Source organism: Homo sapiens, chromosome 1, assembly GCF_000001405.40.
Source record: "Homo sapiens chromosome 1, GRCh38.p14 Primary Assembly".
Taxonomy (NCBI): domain Eukaryota; kingdom Metazoa; phylum Chordata; class Mammalia; order Primates; family Hominidae; genus Homo; species Homo sapiens.
In genome coordinates, this window is record NC_000001.11 from 217582439 (window position 1) to 217607766 (window position 25328).

The following is a 25328-nucleotide window of genomic DNA, read 5'->3' on the forward strand; positions in this document are numbered from 1 at the left end:
CAATTATTGGACATGATAAATCTATTTACATTTTTTCAAATAATATCATATTATAAAAATTATAAAAGCAGAAAAAGTTCAGGCAATAAACCCAAAAAAATGACTAGCAGGAAAAGCAACACCACAATTTTACTTTTAAAAAAGCAAAGAATCCAGTATTAAAGTTGGTATAAAACATTGCAGTAATGCTCAAAAGATAATGCTTTAAAATAAAAGTATTGTGGTGCTAAATATAATGGATTAAATTATGTCTTATGAAAAGACCAGAAGAAGGTGACAGGTATATAAACAATTCACAATAAAACTAGCCAGCAGGTCAGTAAACAGAGAGAGCTTTAATGATTTGAATATCTGATTTGATTTCTTATATATCAGTGCCTTATGCCTATTTAACATTTGACAATAAAATATACTTAACTATGATTAACAGGAGCACCTGAGATTGCAGAGTTTACACTACAACAGAAATATAACTACTGAAATACACCATTCACTGTAAGAATCCGTATTACAGCTAACCTTATTACAAAAGCATTTATCAGAATTTTAAGTCTCCTAAACTCCATCTTGGATAAAATATAGTAACAATATGGATAAATCAAAGACTACTAGCACTTCATAAATAATTACTGCATGTATTAGATTATTCCTACTAACAGAATAGATTAAACAGCAGATCAGATGAAGATAAAAAGAGAATTAAATAACTGGAGCACAGAACCGAAGATATTACCTGTAATGTGGCACACACAAAAAAACAATGAAATGAAAACTAGGAGAAAAGGGCTAAGAGACATTAAGAATAAAATGAGAAAGTGCAACATATGTCTGTCTAAAAAGATAGAAGACTGAGTCGGGCGGGGTGGCTCATGCCTGTATTCCCAGCACTTTGGGAGGCTGAGGTGGGTGGATCATGAGGTCAGGAGTTTGAGACCAGCCTGGCAAACATGGTGAAACCCCGTCTCTACTAAAAATACAAAAATTAGCCGGGTGGTGGTGGCACGTGCCTGTAATCCCAGCTACTCAGGAGGCTGAGGCAGGAGAGTTGCATGAACCTGGGAGGCAGAGGTTGCAGTGAGCCAAGATTGAGCCACTGCACTCCAGACTGGGCATCAGAGCAAGACTCTGTCTCAAAAAAAAAAAAAAAAAAAAAGATAGAAGACTAATAATAAACAAGAAGCTATATTTGGATAAGGGCTGAAATCTTTTTTTAAGAACTGATTAAAGATAGGAATTCTCAGATACAGGAAGCACAACATAAAAAAAAGCAGGATAAATAAATTTATGTCTGTATATTGTGGGGAAACTACAAAATATAAAATACATGTATTTTTTTCTTAAAAGCAGCTAGGGAATAAAAATAAAATACATTATTTACCATTAGTGGAACAGATATCTCAGAGCAAGAGTGAATGCCAGAAGATAGTACAAGAGTATCTTTAAAATGTTGAGAAAAATTATTTAACCCAGAATTACATACCAAGAAAATTATTCATTAAAAAAGGTAAAACAAAGCTAGTTTCAGATTTAAAAAGTGAAATTATCTGTTTTAGATTTTCACCAAAAGAACTTCTAAGCATAATGGAAGAAAAATGATCCTGCAAAGAAAGACTGAAATATAAGATGAAAGGTGAGAAAGAATCTGGTAAATCTTATAGATCTAAATAAATGCTATACATTAATAATAATGTCTAATTTATAGGTTGACAAAACTAAAAGACTGGAAATCAAGACAATATTTTCTGTTCAAAGAGGTGTGGTCAAAATTAATGTTCGAGGCCTCCCGCGGTGGCTCACACCTGTAATACTAGTGGGAGGCCGAGGCGGGCAGATCACTTGAGGTCAGGAGTTTCAAATCAGCCTGGCCAACATGGTGAAACCTCACCTCTACTAAAAAAAAAAAAAAATATATATATATATATATATACACACACACAAAAATTAGCCAGGCATGTTGGCAGGCACCCGTAATCCCAGCTACTTGGGAGGCTGAGGCAGGAGAGTTGCTTGAACCCGGGAGGCGGAGGTTGCAGTGAGCCTAGATTGCACCATTGCACTCCAGCTTGGGCGAAAGAGTGAGACTCCATCTCAAAGAAAACAAAAAACAAAATTATTGTTCTAAAGTCCTAGTATTATTTAGAAGAGGTTTAAATATTAACAGTAGATGTTAAAAGCTGTTAAACACACACAGCAAAATTTCAAAGACATCAGAGGCATGGAAGCAACCAGGGTAGATACCTAGCTTCCAAACTAGTAAAATGGAGGAGAAAATTAGAACGAAAAAGAAAAGAGAGCAACAAGTCAATACTAGAAGGAAAAAAAACTTTTAAAATGTTAGAAAAATAAAAGTATGGAGTTGATATAAATACATGTCCACATATATCAGAAATCACAATAATCTGAAAGCATTAGTTATATGGTAGACAATAACATGTTAGATTTTTAAAAATCCAACCGTATGCTGTCTACAAAAGATATACTAAAACAAAAGGACCCAGAAAGGTAGAAAAAATAAAAGGGTGGAAAAAATAATACCAGGAAAATATAAACTAAAGAAAGATGAGGGCAGATATGTTAATATAATGCATAATAGACCTTATATAATATTAAAAGCATTATTAAAAATAAAACAAAAGTTAAATTAACCAGGAAGGTTAATCCACTTCAAACACTAGTGTCTTTAATTTTGTCTGTTTGGGTACTATTTATAAGAATGGGATCTTACACTATGTTTTCTTCTACAATTTGCTTTTTTTTTCTCTCAATGAGACTCATTCATGTTAATGTTTGCAGTTATAGTTCATTCCACTGCTGAATTCCATAGTAGAAATATATCTATTATTAATATATTCTAATATTAATTGGTAAAAAGTGAAACAAGTGACATGAATAAGAACAGCAGTGCCGGGCGCGGTGGCTCACGCCTATAATCCCAGCGCTTTGGGAGGCCGAGGCAGGCAAATCACGAGGTCGAGAGATTGAGACCATCCTGGCCAACATGGTGAAACCCCATCTCTACTAAAAATACAAAAATTAGCTGGTGTGGTGGCACACTCCTGTAGTTCCAGCTACTCGGTAGGCTGAGGCAGGAGAATCGCTTGAACCTGGGAGGCAGAGGTTGTAGTTAGCCGAGATCACGCCACTGCACTCCAGCCTGGTGACAGAGCAAGAGTCTCTCTCAAAAAATAATAACAATATAAAAAAAGAACAGCAGGAATGTTTGTAATAGCCAGAAACTTGTAACAATACAGAGACTCACAAGATTGCTTAGAGATTGCACAAATATGTAGCACTAAAGCCATGCATTGCTTAACACCAGGGATACATTCTGAGAAAGGCATCGTTAGGCAATGTCACAGTCACACACAAACATCGTAGAGTATACTTACACAAACCCAGATGATATAGCCTATTATAACTAGGCTATATGGTATAGCCTATTGCTTCCAGGCTACAAACCTCTACAGCATGTTACTGTATTGAATAATATATGCAACTCTAACACAATGGTATTTGTGTACCTAGACATATCTAAATACAGAAAATCTATAATAAAAAATATGATATAAATGGTATACCTGTATAGGGCACTTACCATGAATGGAGCTTGCAGTACTGGAAGTTGCTCTGGGTTAGTGAGTGAGGGAGAGGTGAGTGAAAGTGAAGGCCTAGAACACTTCTAGACACTAATGTAGACTTTATAAATATTGTACACTTAAGCTACACTAAATTTATTTTAAAATATCCTCTTTCTTCAATAATAAATTAACCTTGGTTTATTGTAACTTTTAACTTTATCAACCTTTAAAATTCTTCACTTTTTGACTCTTGTAATAACACTTAGCTTAAAACATACATTGCACAGCTGTACAAAACTATTTTCTTCCTTTATATTCTTGTTCTATAAGCTTTCTTCTATTTTATACCTTTTTTTTTTAACTTTTAAAACTTTTTGTTAAAAACAAGACACAAACACACACATTAGCCCAGTCCTACACAAGGTGAGAATCATCAATATCACTGTCTTCACCCCCACATCTTGTCTCACTGGAAGGTCTTCAGGGGCAATAACACACATGGAGCTGCCATCCTGTGATAACAACGTCTTCTGGAATACCTTTCGAAGGACCTGTCTGAGGCTGTTTTACGGTTACATTTTTGAAGGAGGATACTCTAAAATGATGATTAAAAGTACACTATAGTAAACATGTAAACCTACTAATATAGTTGTTTATTATCATTATCAACTATTATGTATGGTACATACTTGTATTGTGTATACTTTGGGAGCACAGTCATTTGTTTACACCAGAATCACCACAAACATGTGACTAATGTACTGCACTGTGAGGTTACAATGCCACGAGGTGACAGGAATTTTTCAACTCCATTATAATCTCATGGGATCACCATTGTAGAAACAGTTCATTCTTGACTGAAACAGTGTTATGCAGCACATGGCCGCATACACTGTACTATAAAAAAAACACAAAGCTATAAATAAAGGCGAGGATATGATTAACATAAAATTCTTGATAGTAGTTACTTCTGGGAGAAGAGGTGATATAATCTGGAAGTATAACTAAGAGCCTTGGAACTACTGATGGTGTATGGTGCAGGGGGGAAGTTCTGCAACTTTGGATGATTTTCTTACCCTAGGATCAATTTATCTCAGATAGCTAGTTAAAAGCAGTAAAGAGATGGAAAACTAAATTTCCTGACTACAAACAGGTTCCCAACAGCATTTCCAAATGATAGTTCTAAAAACAAAAAGCAGGGTGGAGGGAGAAGTTCCTTTAGGAAATATTACAAATCATATTTATCTGCAAAAGTTCTACTTAAAAAGCACTGAAGTCCTAAATTTCAGAAACTTACTTAAATGGCTTTAATTTGGTGTTTCCCAGACAAACTGTACCACTGAACACTCCTTTTCCTTTTCCATATCCTACAAAATGACTACTTAAAATCCGAGATTAAATTTTTAAAAATTAAATCTCAAAGTATGGAAGCCTAAGATAGAAAGAGACTGGCAAAATTACACAGGGCCTTGAAACCAGCAGGCAAAGGAGAACCAATGAAAATTTTTGAGCAAACCCAAACCAGGCCAATGAACAGAACCAGATTTTAGAAAGATTACAGTAAGAATAATACTCTGTATGAACAGTAGTGTGAAATTGTGGGGGTGCTAATCACAAGGTCACTGTTAGAGTTTGAGAACTCATAAGAAACTGGACTAAAACAGAGGTAGTACAGATGGAAAGGAGAGATGCAAATTTCACCAACAATATAGAAAGATTTTTCTGGATTTGTCAACTGACTAGGGAGGAGTAAGGAACAAAAAAAGAACTAAAATATTTTCAGTAGGACGACTAAAATACATAATTTAGTTAAATCTTCACAGCCAGCCTATTAAATAGGTATTATGAAAGACTCAAAACTTAATTTTTCCAAAAGCATAAAACTAGTAAATGATGAAGCTAAGAATTGAGTATTTCAGTTGAATACCTCAAAAATAAAGAATGCATTGAACTTATCTTTGGATCCACAGCCCAACACTGTTTCCTTTACAGCAAGAATAAGACTTTAAGCTTTCTAGACAGGTGACTAGGAGATAATGGTATTAGTGTATATGGAATATATATTATATATGGACATATAGAAATCAGAGGTGCTAACTTGTTGGTGAAGACTCTATCTTCAATTCCCTCCCTCCCTTGGATAATCCATCCTTCATATTCTTCCAGGGGACTGAAAAGACAGATCAATGAAGAAATGAGTTACAATTCTTGCAGAGAACTTAAAAGCTTTTCTCAGAAGCATAGGAAAGACTCAACTGCTAAGAACTGGTAGCAATTACCTAATTCTGATACCTGGCTAGCACTGTGTCCAACCATGGTGCCTAAGAATGCAATAACCAGTAAGGATCTACCTACTGGGAAGCTATTTCAATGGGAACAATTTTTTCAACTACACAGCTGTGTTTTTAAGCATGATTATTATGACTATCAGGATGATCTCTTCATTAGAAAGGTCGAAGTTTCTTTTTTATTATTTAAATAAAGCACTTTACCTATTAAAACTTAATTGAACCATAAGACATCATCTAGTATATGACATTCTCAGAAAAATTCCAGTCATATAATTAAATGTCCTTCAAAATGAAATAGAGTAAAAAATAAAATAAATAGTGCACAAATCTTAAACTCAGTAATACTTTCTTTATGGTTCTTGATTCCTTACTCAGTATCATCATTCATGCAAACCAATGTATTTAACAACTGAAATGGAATATAGCCTCCTAAAATAATGGATTCTAGAAGGTAACCATTATAAACTATTGTCAGCTGACATCAGTAAGAAAAATCTACCCCCTTTCCCCAAGGGAGATAACAATTTCATGGAGAGAACAAGTTAAAGAAATATCCCACTATTCCACTATGAACACATAAAACATTTTAAACACAATTTATTAAGCATGTAACTAATAACAGTTATGCAGTCATCTGCTTACGTGAACTAGGCTGCAAACAACTTTAAAAGGACATTTTTTAGGACATTTTCATCGAAGGAAGCAAACTGAGCAATTATGAACAGGCCATGACAGCAGAAAGAGGTGAAAAGTGAGCCTTCCAGGTGGGGCCGATCATTTCAACATCTAAGAAACAATTCACTCCTGTTTGGTAGTATTAGAGGTGGCTTCTCTTATATGTGAAAGAATGTGGGCCCATATGTCATGTCAAGTCACTTAAAATCTCCCAGAGGACCTGACTGCTATAATGGAACTGTCCAATCTCCAGGCAGACCACGGCCCGCCCATCCCTCCCTTTTCTGCTTCATGCCATCACCTCTTCCTTACATTCCCCTCTAGAAGACACCATGCTGCTTTATGACCTAAGTGCCTGCTCATGCCCTCCCCTCTGCCCAGAGTGGCTACCCTGCTATTCTTCACCTGGATAATGACTACTACTTTTCCAAGACTGCTCTCAAGTTCTATCTCCTAGAAAAGTAATTCCTAGACTGCAGAGATGGTCATTTCACTTGTAAATATGATAAAAATACAAAGAGTATAGACACACTGCGGTCTTTTGGGTCTTTGGCTTGTATCTTACTGTTTAACCAAATCTATATTACATTCTTTAAAAGATCCAAGAGTTAACTGTACCTAAATCTAGGTTTTAAAAATGGCTCCTAACACATTGGATGAGATATATTTAAATCTCTAAAGATAAGAAAATGAAGAGCACACATTTTCCAGATCCCAGGGAAAAGAATCATTAAATCTCAAGCACTAGGGTTTTCTTCAGCCAGTTGTCAAGGATCAGAAGGAAAAGCAATTGAATGAAATAGGCACTAGACTCAAACTTATTGCTCTATTCAGTCTGCTGGAGTCCACCAATACAAACAGACAGGGAAAATAATATCTTTACAGTAAAATGCCTGAATTCTCAATTAACTATAATAGTGCTTCTATAACCAACTCTATTTGAAAAGGAGTTAAGGCAAAACTGTGTGTAGTGTATTTGCTAGTGAAAACCCAGAAAGTTTTCACTAGAAGACCAAAGAGAAACTATGGTCTGTACAACGTCTTTTTTTTTTTTTTTTGAGACAGTCTCACTCTGCTACCCAGGCTGGAGTGTAGTGGCACGATCTTGGCTCATTGAAACCTCCGCCCCCTGGGTTCAAGCAATTCTCCTGCCTCATCCTTCCTAGTAGCTGGGATTACAGGCACGCACTACCACACCTGGCTAATTTTTGTGTTTTTAGTAGAGACAGGGGTTTCACTATGTTGGCCAGGCTGGTCTTGAACGCCTGACCTCAAGTGATCCACCCGCCTCAGCCTCCCAAAGCGCTGGGATTACAGGCATGAGCCACTGTGCCCGGCCCTGTACCATGTCTTTTTTAAACCTCCTGCTTGCTGATCAGGAAAACAGCTCAAAATGCAACCATCTCATTTCCCACATTATATACTAAACTTCACTTACTCATTTAGGTCATCCACTTACCCACCTATCTCTACCACCTTAAGGTTGCATTAAGTACCTGCAACATGCAATGCTTTGTCGGAAAGAAATGATACATCTTTTCAGCTTAGGCTAAGATAGGGAAGATGATATACACAAGGGAGGAGTATTTGACCAATCAATGGTTTTTCTCCCTTTTATGGCCATCATAGCATCTAAAGAAGTTTTGAATTTAAATATATTCGACCAGGGAATGCACTTTCTAGTGTGCTGATACATCCCCTAACACCAAGCTACTTCACACATGTATATTATCTGCCTGGCCACTAGAAGGCATTTGAACTTCGGACTCCTGAGATAAATGAGTGATAATAGTTCCTTTACAGTTACAAAGTCCTATCACTTACACTATTTCATCTTATCTTTTATTATTCCTATTATAGGGATGAGAAACATTAAGCTCAAAGGGGTGATTTCTCCAAGGTCACACAGCCAGTAAATCATGGATCTGGGAGAGGTTATTCTGCATCAGCTAGAGAGAATTCAGGTATGAAAATGGAAAGATAAGTAGAAGCACTAGTGGCAAAGGCCTAGAATTGCAAGAAAAATAGTTTATATTTTATTTTGTAAATCAAGGAAAGGCAGTAAACAATTTAAATTAGAACTCAAAAGGGTCACCAAGATCATATTAGAATTTGAGGAGACTTGATAGTGGTACAAAAGAAAGTAGAAAAGTTAACTGTTAAACAGGGAGAATAGCTAGGCTATGTCAACAGCCAAGAGACTGAAATGGAACATATATATATGATGAACATATACATATGCATATATATAATGGACATATATAAATGCATATATATATGATGGACATATATATATGAATTTTGACTTCTAATTTAAATTGTGTGTACGTGTGTGTGTGCGTAAGACTAATGGACCTGTTTAAAAACATTCGTTTTGCTTGAAAATAGTAAAATTTCCCTGGTAATTCCTAAAAGCCTAGTTAAAAGCATTGACAAAATTTCTGTCTCTAGGATGAATTCACATTCAGCTAGAAAGATTAGCAAGACAGATGAAGGAGACAGACAAAAGGACCAGAAATAACTAAACCCTGGCTAATATCTTATTATGTGAGTTACTTATTCTGTCCAAATCATAACTTCCTCTTTTGAAAGGTGAGTATGATAAAACTGTTGTCCTTCAAAAAACTGAGTTCTAACCATGCAAAGGTGACAACTGTGACATTACAGTTATTGTTAGTCTACACTATTGACAGTAATAGAGAAAACCCTAAACCTTAGCAATACATGAACTCTGTATTAACCAATTCTATAAGATAACTAGAAGAAATCACCGAAATCTATTATCAGTATTTTAAAAGAAAGGCATAAGCATTTTAGTTTATCATTTTTTATTTAAAGAAACATGATCTGATTTACTTTTATATTTAATGTGATGGGAAAAACAATCAGGAAGTACACATAAGTCAGATTATTTTTAAAGTTTTTACAGCTAGCTAAATGTATTAAAACCTATAATTTGTTAATGTAGAAATTAATTTGGCAAGTCCAAATGAGTAATATATTTTATATTAAAGACTTCGTATATCAAAAAAAATGAACAAGTTCACAACTTAAAGAAAGAACTATTTTTTGATGAACAAGAAAGACTTGGAATTAATTTCTGATCTTTGCCTTAGAAAATGTATCTTTTCCTTGCCATGTACGTAGCCCAAATAATTAATTCTACTCCGTCTATTCTGGCTACACAAGTTATATTTTTTAACTGCTAACTTAATCATATGGCATCTTGTATTATAGCAACTACATCAATTTGCCAATAAGTTACCAGTTTGAGTCAAATTAGTTAATGTCACTTTCTACTTTAGAATTTTAATTGGTATAACTCAAAAAGTATAGGCTTAACACCAAGCCTCAAAACACGTTGATTTCAAACACATTTTTATTAAATTGGTGGGAAAGTAGATGGCTTCTCACTTTCATTTTTAAAATTTATATAATAGCACAGAGGAGGTGAAGGTATACAAAAATGGATACCAATATGACTTCACTATGGAATCAGTGAAAGTACAAAATTAAAATAACAAGAACCAGTGTTCACCACATGATATTGAAAAAATCTAATTTAAGTAACATTAAAGAGTGTAAAGAATGGGAAATGTTCATGAATCATTTATCGAATTTTTAAAACTGAGCACCACATTTTGTACATGTAGTGTTCATGGAAAACCAAACTGATTTCAATCACTTAGGGTACATTATAAAAACAACCTGAACATGTATATTTAGAGATTAAAAATCTTATTAACCTGGAGGTTAATAAGAAGATATTTCTGTAAGACATAGAGATAGAATATAGCTTCCTTTTAATGCCACTTTTGGGTTACTGCTATCAACAGAAAATAAAAGCAGACTCCCATTCTGATCAATATCTGAAACCTAATTCAAATGGTTCTCTTCTTTGTACTACTTACATGGAATGATAGTACAACCCCAAGTATTTCAGCCCACCCCTGACTTTTGATTCAAAAATGGATCTATGGTAACAGTCATCTAACAACCTCTTAAGTGCTTGTTTTATGAATCTGGCCCTTACTCAAGAAGTTTCATTGAAAAGTCTTTTAACCTCCTTCTGAAAAGAATTTACAGGACTGTATTTAAGTTCAAGTTCAAGGGTATTAAAATGTACAAAGGAGGGTGAAAAAGGTGCTAGGTTATAGATTTTAACTTCTTAACTAGAAAAATGACTCAAAATAGATTTTCTAATTTACAATGAATCAAAAGAGAAAACATTAGACCATAGCAGAAGTGGCACAAATGTATCAAAAACCAAATGAATAAACATTTGAGGAGATTTATTATTAGAAATTGCAATAAATTTTGGAAAGATGAATTGATTTTAGTTAAAAGGTATAACTGACAATTTATTGGGCGGGAAGATGCATTATTTTCCAATTGTTATCCATCTACAGTAAAACTGATTTGTGTCCTATTGTATTTTATGGAAAAGGAGAGTGCAACTTTCAGTGATTTAGATTAAATGTATTAATCATAACCAAGCACTGTGAACTATATATCTACTATTAAAGAAGATTTTTGACATTTAATTCTGTAGCAATATTTTGGCTCTGTACCACTCTTCCTAAATCCAATTCCTGCTACAGTTGGCAGATTTCTCCCTTTTAATTTTATGAGGCTTAAAGTAGCATTTAACCACCCATGCGGTAAATAATGCGGGATTAGAAATATTTAGTGTTTTGTTTCCCTTTCAAGAGTGGTAATCCATCAAATCCAAAAATGTTCTCTAAAATTTTTCTATGTTTTCGGCAATCTGTAATATATGGTATTGTAAAAACCATAAAATTAAATAAAATGCATTACATAGCTAGAATAGATCTGCTTTTGTAAAGAACTGCGTTAACCTAAAAAAGCAGGTAAAATTCACTTTCAACCAGAAGCATGAATCCTTATTGCAAAACAAAACAAAATAAAAATTAAAGATTAAAACAGGATATTTAATTAGAATCTTTTAATTTTGTTTCTTCAGGTAATGAATCTTAAGGAGTATGCAAATAATTTCTAAGCAGTTTAACCATTTAATATCTATCTAAACAAGATACTGTTACAAGTATTAGAATAATACAGAACAATTATTTAACATCTAGATGCTCTAGGTACGTGGCTAAGTGCTCCATAAATGTAAAACTAAATTTTAAACTGAATATATCATATGTGATGCATATTTGTTCCCAAGAAACACATTTAACTCATAATTTTTTCACACATGTGAGGCACGAGGCAAAAATGAATTGATTCATCTACAGGAGCTAATATTTCTAAGTATAATTTAGAACAGTTACAAAACATTTTTATATTTAACATGTGAGCTTAAAAATAATTAACAACTGCTGTTTAAAAAAAGTATATTTTATTATTAAATCAAAATAACCAACAGAAGTAAAACTGACTTTAAACAAAATCAAATTCCAACTTTTAAATTTTAATTTATATGAAATGCTAATTTTGGTTATTAATGATTCCAAATTATTATAATAATCACACTGTAACTTCATGTGGTACTTTGAGATATATCAAAGTAATAAAGTAACCTGTCAAATGAGTAATTATCTATATTTAATCTATATATAAAACAAATGGCCCAGAAATGAGTAAAGTCTGTAATTCACTCAAGACACAGTGATGCTATATATTCATGGTTAGAACATCTAATTTCTTCATACATATTCATATCTTAATTCACTTTTTAAAAAATTCATGATTATAATTGTTATAAAAATAAGTTTATGTCCTCCTAAATGAAATCAAGGATTACTTATTAGAAATAAGATAATCTAAAAAGAAAGTGTTTGTGTGTGCACATGTGTGTAAAGGTACCTTTCCCATATATAAAGTGCCTGCTTTGCCCTCCTTGTCCTTCACAGTGCTACACTGTGGAGCTGGGAGTTATACATTGGGAGAAATAGGATGAAAGAAAACGCATCCAGTCAGCTAGACAGCTGGCACCTTTAAGGAGCATGCCAAAGGAAAGTAAAGGCATTTCAGTAACAAACATATGATTACAGTAAGATGTTAAGGAAAGAGGGTGACTCTGAGATTACATTCAGTCAAGGAATGAGTTAGATTAATTGGTATTTCCTAAAAACAGTCAATTCCAAAAGTTGAGCAAGCACAGTTTTGAGAAGCTATATGAGGAAGAAGGATTACTGAAGAAGGAACAGGTCTGATATTAGTATATATGAAAGGGGCTAATGCCAAATATGTGGCTTGAATTAAATTATTTATTTCAATATCATTTATAATTTTAAAGAGTAAACTAAGGATTCAATAGTAAAAAAACCCTTGAATCTTTCCTCAAAAGGGGAACTCAATCAAATTTTGAGACAGGCAACATTGAAAAATTCACAAGTAATGTAAATTTCAAGTCTCAGTGTTTTCAAAAGTAACATTCAAAAAAGCAACATCACTATAGCTCTAGCTGAAAATATGGAAAAAGCGTATTATTCTGAGAATTTTAATTTGCAACAGAACTGGAGTTCAGAGATCTAACTGTGATATTTTCTTTTTTTCTTTTTTTTTTTGATGGAGTCTCACTTTTGTTGCCCGGGCTGGAGTGCAATGCTGCGATCTCAGCTCACTGCAATCTCCGCCTCCTGGGTTCAAGAAATTCTCCTGCCTCAGCCTCCCGAGTAGCTGGGATTACAGGCATGTACCACCACGCTTGGCTAATTTTTGTATTTTTAGTAGAGAAAGGGTTTTGCCATGCTGGCCAGGCTGGTCTCGAACTCCTGACTTCAAGTGTTCCACGCATCTCAGCCTCCCAAAGTGCTGGGATTACAAGCATGAGCCACCGCACCCGGCCGATCCTTCTTAATGTAGGTAACTCTTTGAAAATCTGTTTGTGAACCCATAAAATGGATCCTATAAACGTGCTCCTTAGAAAACATTAAGTGTTATTCAAATATTTACTGTTGTCACTAACCTTTAAAATATATATATAAAAAAGAAAACTGACAGGTAACAGAATAATTTACTTTTTAATAAACTTGAGAAAGAAAAAACCTACATGTCACAGTAAGGACCTTTTAACATAACTTAAATCAAAAGATACCAAAGAATAGGAGAGAAAACATTAAGTGGGGTGAAGTGGTAGAAGAAAGAATTGATAGAAGGAAGGATGAAGAGTATCTTTACATTATGAAAAATGATAACATTGAAAAATAAAACACACTTACAGTTCAAAAGATTTAATTTCATAAACCAAACTCAGAATAATGACTTGCCCAGTATATTCATTAAATTGACCAAAATATCTGGCTGAGATATATTATTTTAGTAGGCAATTAGGTCTATCCAATTTTTAAAAAATTAATTGGAAATATATATTTTACCCTTACAAGGAATTCTGTATAGCTTGATGGTTAAGTCCTTGGGAAATTGGCCACAGGGTAGCGTTAAAATCCTGTGACCTTGAACAAGTCATTTAAGGCATTTGTCCCTCAGTTTCCTGGTCTATAAGATGGAGAGGAGATAATATTGACCTAATTAGGCTTTTTGTGAACATTAAATGATTTGATATACATAAAAAGATTAGAATAACACCTGGCAATTAATAAGAACTCAATAAATGTTAGCTATTATAATGAATAGTAATCAAATATTTCTGCCCTTTTATATTAGTTTAACACAAAAGCTGATATGAAAAATAATAATATTCTATAATGAAATATTATACTGCCAAACGAATGAAAATATAGGTATGATTTAGAATCTCTCCGCCATTTTTTCGAAGTGTAAAAAGCAAGGTTAAAGTCACAGAAGCTCTATTTGTACAGATGAGTATGGAAGGGACTGGGCATAGGGAAGGACTTCCTACTGGATACTTTCTGTCTATCTGAATTTTAAAACCTGTGTATTTATTATTTTAAAATAATGATAATTAAAAGAAAAGAACACTAGCTAGGACTTCCCAGGAAACATAACACATTGATCATATATTTATTTCAGCTTCCTCCCAAAGCCCAATTAAAATCAATAGAATAAAAAGGTACAACTCCACAAGGACAAAGAGAATAGGAATAAGATACCAATAGACAAAATATGTCAACAGGCCAGGTGTGGTGGCTCATACCCGTAATCCCAGCACTAAGGCTAAGGCGGGAGGATCACTTAAGGCCAGGAGTTCGAGAACAGCATGGACAACATAGCAAGACCCCTGTCCCTACCAAAAAAAAAAAAATTAAAGATTAGCTGGGCATGGTGGTCAGTGTCTATAGTACTAGCTACTCAGGAGGCTGAGGCAGGAGGATCACTTGAGCCCAGGAGTTCCAGGCTGCAGTTAGCTATGAGGGAACTACGGGAACTACTGCACTATAGCCTGGGCAACAGAGTGAGACTCTTGTCTCTTAAAAAAAAAAAAAACGGCAAAATCACAGAAGATGAAAATCAAACGGATGCGAGGCTGACCGCCCAGCTTCTTCTATATGCAACAGGGTGGGGAGAGGGTGGCAATAAAAAACAAGCTGACTGAAACACCAGACTCCAGAAAAGTTCACAAATTGGAGGCTCTAGATACCTCTTAAACAGGCAATTCATGGATAGTCTATTTTTTAAAAAGTTGATCTCCAGATCCCATTTCTCAGCCCATCCAGTCATATATTACAACTTCTACCCTATATCCCACCAGAAGCTCAAAACTGATTATATGAAAATGTTAAACTAGAAAGGGGTCATTCCTACAAAGCTCATGATACCCTTTTACTAAAATCAGGAAAATTCAGTGAAAGTCTGCACAATGAATGCTCCCTGTCCTTGTTTATAACAAGAATGTTGGCTAGTGGACTCCATTCTATCCCCACCCCAAATAACAAAGGCATATCGTTCTCTCTGCAACTTGTCACAGGGAAATCCCTACGGATAGCAACACATACAGATCCCCCAACCAAAAGGTCTAGCAAGCCCTGCATCTGCACACTAGGCATCCAATCATGTTTTTAATGTGCTGTCAACTGGGACTGTATATGCTATCATTTCATGAAGCACATAAAAGGGCAAAATTAAAACAATGAAAACCTTGGAAACTAATATTTTTCAGAAAGAATGTTGTTACTTAAAGTTACACTGGCAATATAACTAGTGGCGGAAAACTGCCTATAAAACATAGGGTCGGTGGGCGCAGTGGCTCACATATGTAATCCAAGCACTTTGGTAGGCTGAGGTGGGAGGATTACTTGAAATCAAGAGTTTAAGACCAGCCTGGCCAACATATCGAAACCCTGACTCTACTAAAAATACAAAAAAATTAGCTAAGTGTGGTGGTGCATGCCTGTAATCCCAGCTACTTGGGAGGCTGAGGCACAAGAATCACTTGAACCTGGGAACTGGAGGTTGCAGCAAGCCAAGATCGCACTATTGCACTCAAGCCGGGGCCACAGAGCCAGATTCTGTCACGAAAACAAAACAAAACAAAAAACCATAAGGTCATACCCGGTAAATAACCATCAACATTAAAAAAAATTTTTTTTTTTTTGAGACAGAGTCTCGCTCTGTTGCCCAGGCTGGATGGAGTGCAGTGGCGCAGTCTTGGTTCACTGCAACCTCTGCCTCCTGGGTTCAAGCAATTCTCCTGCCTCAGCCTCCCAAGTAGCTGGGATTACAGGTGCCTGCCACAGGTACCTGCCACCACACCCGGCTAATTTTTTGTATTTTTAGTAGAGATGGGGTTTCACCATGTTGGCCAGGCTCGTCTCAAACTCCTGATCTCGTGATCCACCTGCCTCAGCCTCCCAAAGTGCTGGGATTACAGGCGTGAGCCACTGCTTCCAGCCTAAAAAAATATTAAACACATACAATGTGCTAATAGCTCCCATCGTTGGAGCTACTGTATGTGCTAACAGGACTCCCATCATTGGGTAGACATAGTTAAAGTAAGCAGATGGTTAACAGTATAAAATACTAGGTTATCTGTGAATTAATTAATGAGTGGCAGAGACAGAAGATATAATGCCATTTCAGATAACAGAGTGACCTCAAAAGTGTGAAGAGTTGGGGAAGGTTTTGAAAAAAAGGTACAGAATTGAACTGATACCTGAAGGACACGAATCTAGCAGGAAGAAGTGAGGGATACACTGTTGTGAACAGAGGTGTAAAATACACGGATATGGTTGAATATGAGAAGGCTGGAGAAAGAGTGGGGGCACTGAGAACATAACACCATCTGGAAAGGAGTGAAGTATTATAGGTCATAGGTGAAGAGTGAAAATAGAAAAGAACAAATCCGAATTTTATTAAGACGGTAATGGAAACTATTTCTTGGCACAGGAGTGACATGAGCATAACCACACTTTAGAAATGTTTACTTGCAGTTATGTGTGATATGGATTACAGGCAGGAAAATCAAAAGACAGACCAGGGAGGAGGCTATAAAAATGTAAGGCTATGAGATACTACACCAGGGTAGTGACAGATGAAATTGAAAAGAAGGGGCTGCTATGACAGATAAAGAAATAAGGCTCAGACTTGTCTAGATGTGGCAAGAGTGGAGGCAGACAAAGATAACACATGAAACCAAATGTTACACTGAAGGACCAAAACCCACTTAGGATCAATGCTTCCCTTAACAAATGTTAGGTCTCTTTCTTTGCTCCCCTTTTCTCAATTAATTTTCAGTTACCAAACTGTAAGGTACTTGAGGACAAATTTTGTATCCCCAGCCCCTTGAACAATGAAGACATCCTAAGTCTTCATGACATGTGCTTACAGCTGAACCAAAAACTTTATAGTTGAAAACACAATTAGGCAAGACATCAAGTTTCTGAGTCAAATGTAACATATACTTATTTATTCATCTGACAAATGATATAAAATACTTTTGTGAATTTTTATAAAGTATTTTTGTGAATTGAAAAATTAGAAGAATTTATTAAGGATATATGTAAATGAGATAAAATGAGATGAAATCTAAGTAATAAACATTTAGTTTTTAAAGAACAGTTTCTAGATTGAATACTTCAAAATCGATTCAAATCTAAAACACCTCAAAAAAACCAAGTAGATACCATTAAATGTTACTACATAGTTACATGTCACTTAAAGATAAACACTCCTGCAAGTTCAGAATTGTATGGACCTGGAATACTTCAGTAGTAAACTGTCTATGACCAAATATGAGATTTAAATATGAAGTTCTAAGAGGAAGATTAATGGCACAAGTCATTACTCCTTTGGTATGGAAAAAAAATAATCAAATTGCCCCCATTAAGTACTGGTCAGTGTTTCAGATAATTGGGACTGAACAACAAAAATTTTACAAGTTTTATTGGCTTAAAACATACATAAGTACCTGTTGGCATCTCTGGTTTATCAGAATCCCCTTTCCTGGATGACAGTCAACAAATAACTGGTTGGCATCCTCTAACTATAGTAAAGAAAACTCCTATCTAGATGATTTCATTATGAATTTTCAGTTCTTCAAATTCACCTTCAGTTGGAGGACTTGCAGGTGACTTCCGTATAGAAAGTACTTGTTAAATATTATTTGGAAGTGTTCTACCCATCATTGATTTTGAACTTTTCTGATATTAGATATCTGACATATCTGAAGGGAAAGTAGAAAACCGAAATTTATAGACCATCAGAATAATTGTATCAGAAACATAAAAGGGAGAAAAACAGAGTAGGAGCTTCCAAGAAAGTAAAATGTTTGCAGCATTTCTGTTTCCCTGATTTTGATTTTTAAAAAATAATAATAATGGGGACTATGGCAATGTCATCACCATTTTAAAAGACAACTAAAAAAAGGTGTTGCATCTTCATCTGTGAAGTCAAATGGTTACAAATCAGCAGCCTTAATTTTGAAAGAAAGAGCATTTTAAAACAATTTTCAAAGGTTTGTTAGGATACAAAAAAGAAAAGTTTTAAAATGATGATCACAGTCTAAGACGTATTTTTAGAAAACCTTACATTTGCAAATTCAATGTTTTTAAAGACATTCATTAAAAAGTCCATAGATCACATATATCTCGAAAACAAAACAGTAAAATAAGCCATTTCTTTACTAATAAAGGAATGACTTAAGAATTTGTATGCAAATACTAAAGTGAGAAAAATAAAATGCAGAAAGCATGGTATTTCATGCATTTTTAAAAAGCTAATAAAAAGACTAGTTGTACTGCATAATATTTAAGTAGCCATGAAAGCAGAAGAGTAAACTGGTAACCTCTGTAGCGAAGTTCTTACATATTAAATTTCAGGACATACATTATGATGAAATCTAAAGGGAACATCCAAAATGCTATATAAATATTTAGCATCTGTAAACTTTCTTTAAAAAAAATCATTCAAAAGTTACAAAGAAACGATACATGTTTGAGGTGATGGACATCGTAATTAATCTGATTTATTACATATTGCTTACGTGTTTCAAAATATCACATTACCCCATAAATATGTATAATTATTACTGTCTCAATTAAAAAAATAAACATAAAGGCAAAAAAAAAAATTCAGAAGCATTAGTAGTAAAGCTGTACCTGGTAAACAAAAGTGCCTTTTTTGCTATTCGCAGGCCTATCCATACTGACATTTAAAAGCTTTGGGCAATCTGATCAGGAATCAGGAGAGATGGCTAAAACCCATCCCACCAACTTCTTGAATGAACAGGTATGAATAATGTTCATTCAATAATGAATAATGAACACCCTTGCTCCTTTCCCCAGTTGTTAAAAGGGCAATTAGAAGAAAGGCACTAGACTGTCCAAGGCTGTCCAAGGCTGAAAATTCCAGCCTGCAAATCATATTCTCTCCAATCAACTTCATATCCTATAATTCTCTAACACTTACCCTGCTTAATTTTCTCCATGTCCATTTTTATTTCCTTATTCTCCTCCCAACCTCCACCAGGTTTATTTTTATTCATTAAAATGTAAGCTTCAAGAGATCGTATCTAACTTGTTCATCACTAACACCCAAGGCCCAGCAGTATCTGATACTGGTATTACCTAGTATCAAAAATCTTTGTTAAACGAGTGGATGTCATGCAAGAGTTGATCAGAATATCAGGTCCAGTAAAAATTTAAGGGTTCAGTCTAGTCCATGGATCCTACCTACTGTAGAATAGGCATGGATCTTAGCCTCCTGATATAGTCTTAACTTGTAGTTACCTAATGTACTCTCTATACTGCTGCCCATGTAATCTTTTAAAAAACAAATCTGATAATTCTTAACCCCTTGGAGATTACATGGGTTCAAATGCATTCCTGTGGACCACAACGTCCATAAGCACCTAACCCATGCCCACATTTTCAGCCAAACCCTCCCTGCTACACACCACTCCACACAAGCATATCTTATATCTCAGTAATACTGGATTCATGGTTTCCTGAATACCCCATGCTTTTTCAAACTTAATCCTTGACCATGCCTTTCTGTCTGCCAATTTCCCTCCCCATCAGTTGGTAAGCTCTAACTCATTCTCAAAGTCTCAGCTAAAAAGATCAACCTCCTTTAAAAGGCTTTCCCAGAGTTTTGCTAAGTTACATGAGAAAGGAGGGGAAAGGAATATAAGAAATACAGAGGATATAATCACAGCTGAACTAAAATAGCAATGTGACAGCTATGAGGCACATTGTAAAACAGGTTGGAGAGATAATGAGGGACCATGGAGGTCAGGCAGGGAGAACAAGCTGAAACAGAGCAAGCAAGCAGACCAGAAGGTGCTAGAATTAGATCAGCAAAAAGGTACTATAGACTACCTGAGAAACATACAAAGGGAAGAAAGGGTGAAAATGGAGGACTGGGTTCCAGTGATTAATCTGATAGAAGCAGTAAAACATTTCATTATCATTTTTATTATGGCACACATCTTGATTGTGCTTGCCATTCAAGATACAAAGAATGCTTGTGAGTATTTCAAAAATAACTCACACTTTGTAACCAGGCATTTTGTGACCAAGAAATGAAGACTACTTTATGAAGAGAATTTATTTATATTTATTAATATTAGCAACATGACAGAAATATAACTTCCAAATCGTATTAATTTTGGCTTGTCAAAGGAAGAACATGTAATAAACTGTTTAAGTTGTAAACATTAATGTATATTATAGATATGTTAATAAGATTAATGAAAAAATATATATAAATAGCCTGTAGAAAAGTGTCTGGCACATAGTAAGTAAGCATCATTGTGTCTAATTACCAAAATACTAACATTCACTTTGCAAGGTTCCATATTTCTGAAGCATCACAAACCCAAATGACAATGAAGTCTATGAAGTCAAGCCAATTCGAAGACTAAGTTATCAGAGAAGCAAGAACCAATATTTTAAATATATGGAAAAATATGTTGTCAATTTTGGTAACATTAAAATACCAAGATTGAACACCTGTTTATATAGTTTTTCCTAAAGGGTTTTCAAGACTAAATATGGAGAATATAATACACATTAAAATACTGTTAATTAAATGAACAAATATACTACTGTATTGGCACTATTTAAATTTGTAAATATCTGCTCTTTTAATAAAGCATAATACAATAAAAATATCAAGACAGACATCATTTAATAGAACTGAATGAAAAATTATTCAAGTCATATTTTCAAATAACTATGGATATTAAATTTTTATGATATCGAATCTACAGTTGTAAATGACATCAAAATAGAGAATTTATTTATTTATTTATTTATTTTTACTTTTTTTGAGATGGAGTCTCACTCTGTTGCCCAGACTGGAGTCCAGTGGCATGATCTCCGCTCACTGCAACCTCCACTTCCTGAGTTTAAGTGATTCTCCTGCTTCTGCCTCCCTAGTAGCTGGGATTACAGGCACATATCACCATGCCCTGCTAATTTTTGTATTTTTAGTAGAGACGGGGCTTCACCATGTTGGCCAGGCTGGTCTTGAACTCCTGACCTTAAGTGATCCATCTGCCTTGGCCTCCCAAAGTGCTGTGATTATAGGTGTGAGCCACCGTGCCTGGCCCAAAATAGAGAATTTTGAATCAAAGAGACTGTATTAAAATGTCTTTTGTAAAAGAAATATTTATTATAATTCTATTAAGTTGTACCTTTCTAAGATACAGAATCAAGTTATCTCAAAATAAGTTATTTAAAAAAGTGTCAGTTTCTGGCCGGGCACAGTGGCTCACGACTGTAATCCTAGTACTTTGGGAGGGCGAGGTGGAAGGATCACCTGAGGTCAGGAGTTTGAGATCAGCCTGGCCAACATGGTGAAACTCCATCTCTATTAAAAATACAAAAATTAGCAGTGCACAGTGGCACACAAATGTAGTCTCAGTTACTAGGGAGGCTGAAGCAGGAGAATCACTTGAACCCGGGAGGCAGAGGTTGCAGTGAGCCAAGATCACACCACTGCACTCCAACCTGGGTGACAGACTCCATCTCAAAAAAAAAAAAAAAGTATCAGTGTCTAATGTGAAATCTGGATCTTAAACTGATTTTGAAATAAGATAAAATTAATATATAGTAATAGATCAGAATATACATGACATATATTTAAAATATAACAGTTTAAAAACACTTTCTTCTTGTATTCTCCAAAGTATCCCAAAATGTCTTATGGATACAAACATGTATCAGTTCACAGGGGTTAAAATAAAGCATTGCACTAGTGAATTCCACTCAAAAAATGTTAGATAATCAGTCATGGTCAAATTACAGTTGAGGACATAGGCTGTATTTTTTAAAATCATTTTAGATTTGCTTTCTATCATAAAAGTTTTCCTTTCTCTTAGACTATCAAGCGCCCTTATGTAAATTAACTGCATTTTAAATGGCCCTTCTGGCCTAGTGTGATGGATCATGCCTGTAATCCCAGCACTTTGGGAGGCCGAGGCCAGTGGATCACCTGAGGTTAGGAGTTCGAGACCAGCCTAGCCAACATGGCGAAATCCTGGCTCTACTAAAAATACAAAAATTAGCTGGCGTGGTGGCAGGCACCTGTAGTCCCAGCTACTGGGGAGGCTGAGGCAGGAGAATCGCCTGACCCTGGGAGACAAAGGTTGCAATGAGCTGAGATCTGCCACTGCACTCCAGCCTTGGCAACAGAGCAAGGCTCTGTCTCAAAATAAAATAAAATAAAATAAAATAAATGGCCCTTCTGCTGTAAAAGGCTATAAAGTAGACTAAATATTCCTACTCTAGTTTCCTAACAAAAGTTGAGCAAGACATACAGAGTAAATCATTACAGTATGATTGTCATTAACAAAATGCCACTCATGTCATCCTGGTTTTCTATGACTTCACAGAAGAAAATACAATATTCTTTTTCTCCTATAGAATGAATTGACTCAAGATTCTAAACAGATACAAATTATTGTGTTCAGGGTTTTTGTATAGTGAATGCAAACAGTATGCTTATTTGTACAGCATGATAAATTGGATTAAGAGCTAATGTTCACATTTTTTTCAGATTTCTGAACTTGATAAACATGTATAAATAGTCAATTAAATCAGATTCATTTTCTTTGGCAGAATAACCACCAATACCAGCACCAATGTATTCTTATTCCAACTGTACAGAAAAGTGGACTGAGGCAATTATAAAGCTTTTCAACAAATTCCTATCACAATTGTGTAAAATTTCTATGTAATATTTATGTTGGCCTTCAACAACTGTGTTTTAAGCTGAGTCATTTATTTCCTGATCTTTCAAAAGACTACACAATTTGAATGCGGATTTTCAGTAGACCAATGTAACACCTGTTGTAAGACCATTAATTCAAATCAAAAAAGAATTTTAAAAAGCTCTGACCTACAAAAAATACTGATTTTTTAGGATGCATAGGAATAGGATATATCTTGGCTATCTGGAATGTATGCTTACATAAGGTTACTTGGATTCACTTTATAGGTCCTATATCCCACACCTGATTCTGGCATCATTATTCTGAGAAATATTATTCTGAATTGAGTTTAATGCACAAACTATGGAAATATAAGAGATTCGGGCTGAATCTCCTGGATAATAGCCTCCACATATCCCTTGAAATTAATGACCATTTGCTTCATTCTCCTAAAAGTGGGGAATAAGAGATGCTAGTTAGCTGGGTTTTAACAAACTGGTACTTTACTACGATGGCAACAGTAATTCCTCTCAACACAAAAATCTCAGGACTCTGTTTGCATGCACATGAGCATAATTAATTTAAAAAATCAGATAGGTTAAATAGATCAGGACCCAAATCTCCTGAACAGTATAGGTTCAGGAATAGCTATTAGGCCTTCTCCCTCCATCATTTAAGCTATTCATTTAGCTTAAATGATGGAGGGAGAAGGCCTATGTGCTCTGTGGTCAGGAGAAGAGTTTAGAGCAGTTTCTCAGTTTGCAATTAAGTTTTGAGATTTAGTGGAGTGGCTGTCAACCTAAAATTTATTTGAAACTATGATTCACAGACCATATTAAAGAAAGAGGCCAGTTCAAATATAAAAGAGGTATAAAAGAAACATAAAAGAATGCCATATAAAGTGCTTTAAATATTAAATGTAAAGGCAAATTTTATATAAAATATGAACAAGCCAGTTGCGGTGCTTCACGCCTGTAATCCCAACACTCTGAGAGGCTTGAGCCCAGGAGTTTGATACCAGCCTGGACAACATGGCAAAACCCCATCTCTACTAAAAATATAAAAATTAGCCAGACATGTTGGTGCACGCCTGTAGACCCTGCTACTCAGGAGGCTGGGGTGGGAGCATTGCTTGAGCCTGGGAGGTCACGGCTGCAGTGAGCCTTGATTGTGCCACTGCACTCCAGCCTGGGCAACAGAGCAAGACCCATCTCAAAAAAAAAGAAATACCAGAAAAGTTTAAGGTCCACAATTCTGCACTTTGACTCATGATACAAATGTTCTCTAAGTCCCAGCTATTGTGTTTAATATATCTAATAATAGTAACAATCATTTATTTAATATATATTATGCACCAGAGATGGTGCTGGGCCCATTATGCATACACAATCTCATTTAAAAACCTGACGACACTTATGCAAAAGTAAGTATTGTTGGTATTAAACAAAAGGAGGGAAGGAGGTTCAAAATCTAACTACAACTAAAAAGAAGAATCAGAGTGTGGATTCACAAAGGTCTGACTTCAAAATCTATAAATTTTCTGCAATATCACTTTGCTCTCTATAAAACTAAATACAGTCAATCTCGTTCCCATTGTGGATTCCATATTTTTAAGTCGGCCTGCCTGCTAAAATTTATTTGTTAACCCCAAAATCAATACTCACAATTTCTGACTTTTGTAGTCATTCAGTAACATGTACAGAGCAGTGAAAAATGTTGAGTTGCCCGACATACACGTGCATTCCTACCAGAGGTCAGTCAGGTGACTTTCTTCCTACTCGTTTAAACTATCATACTGTAAACATATGTCCCTTTTGTAGTCTAAATTAGTACCAGATTTTTTTTTGAATTGTTGTGCTTTTTGTGGGTGATTATTCTGTTTTAAATAGCCCCTTGTATAGTGCTGAGAAATGCCGTCTAGTGCTCCTAAGTGCAAGAAGGCTGGGATGTGCCTTATAGAGAAAAGACTTGATAAGCTTTGTTCAGCCGTAAGTTATAGTGCTATTGGCCATGAGTTCGATGTTAGTAAGTCAACAATATATATTAAATGTCTCTAAACACAAACATAAACAAAACAAGGTTATCTATTGATCAGTTGGTGAAAATGTTGTGACCAGAGGCTTCCAGGAACCTAACCCTGTCTTTCCCTTAGGAGCCATGATTCAGTATTCCCTAATTCAATGTTTTCAGCAAGTGTATAGAATACAGTTATGGCAAATAGTCAGAATCAACTATAATACA

The 25328-nt window shown here is 35.1% G+C and overlaps 1 protein-coding gene across 9 annotated transcripts in view; it reads right to left on the reverse strand.

Annotated features, from left to right (window-relative positions):
• The window catches only part of GPATCH2 (G-patch domain containing 2), a 204099-nt gene that overhangs the window by 155447 nt on the left and 23324 nt on the right, over positions 1-25328 (reverse strand). The window lies entirely within an intron of this gene.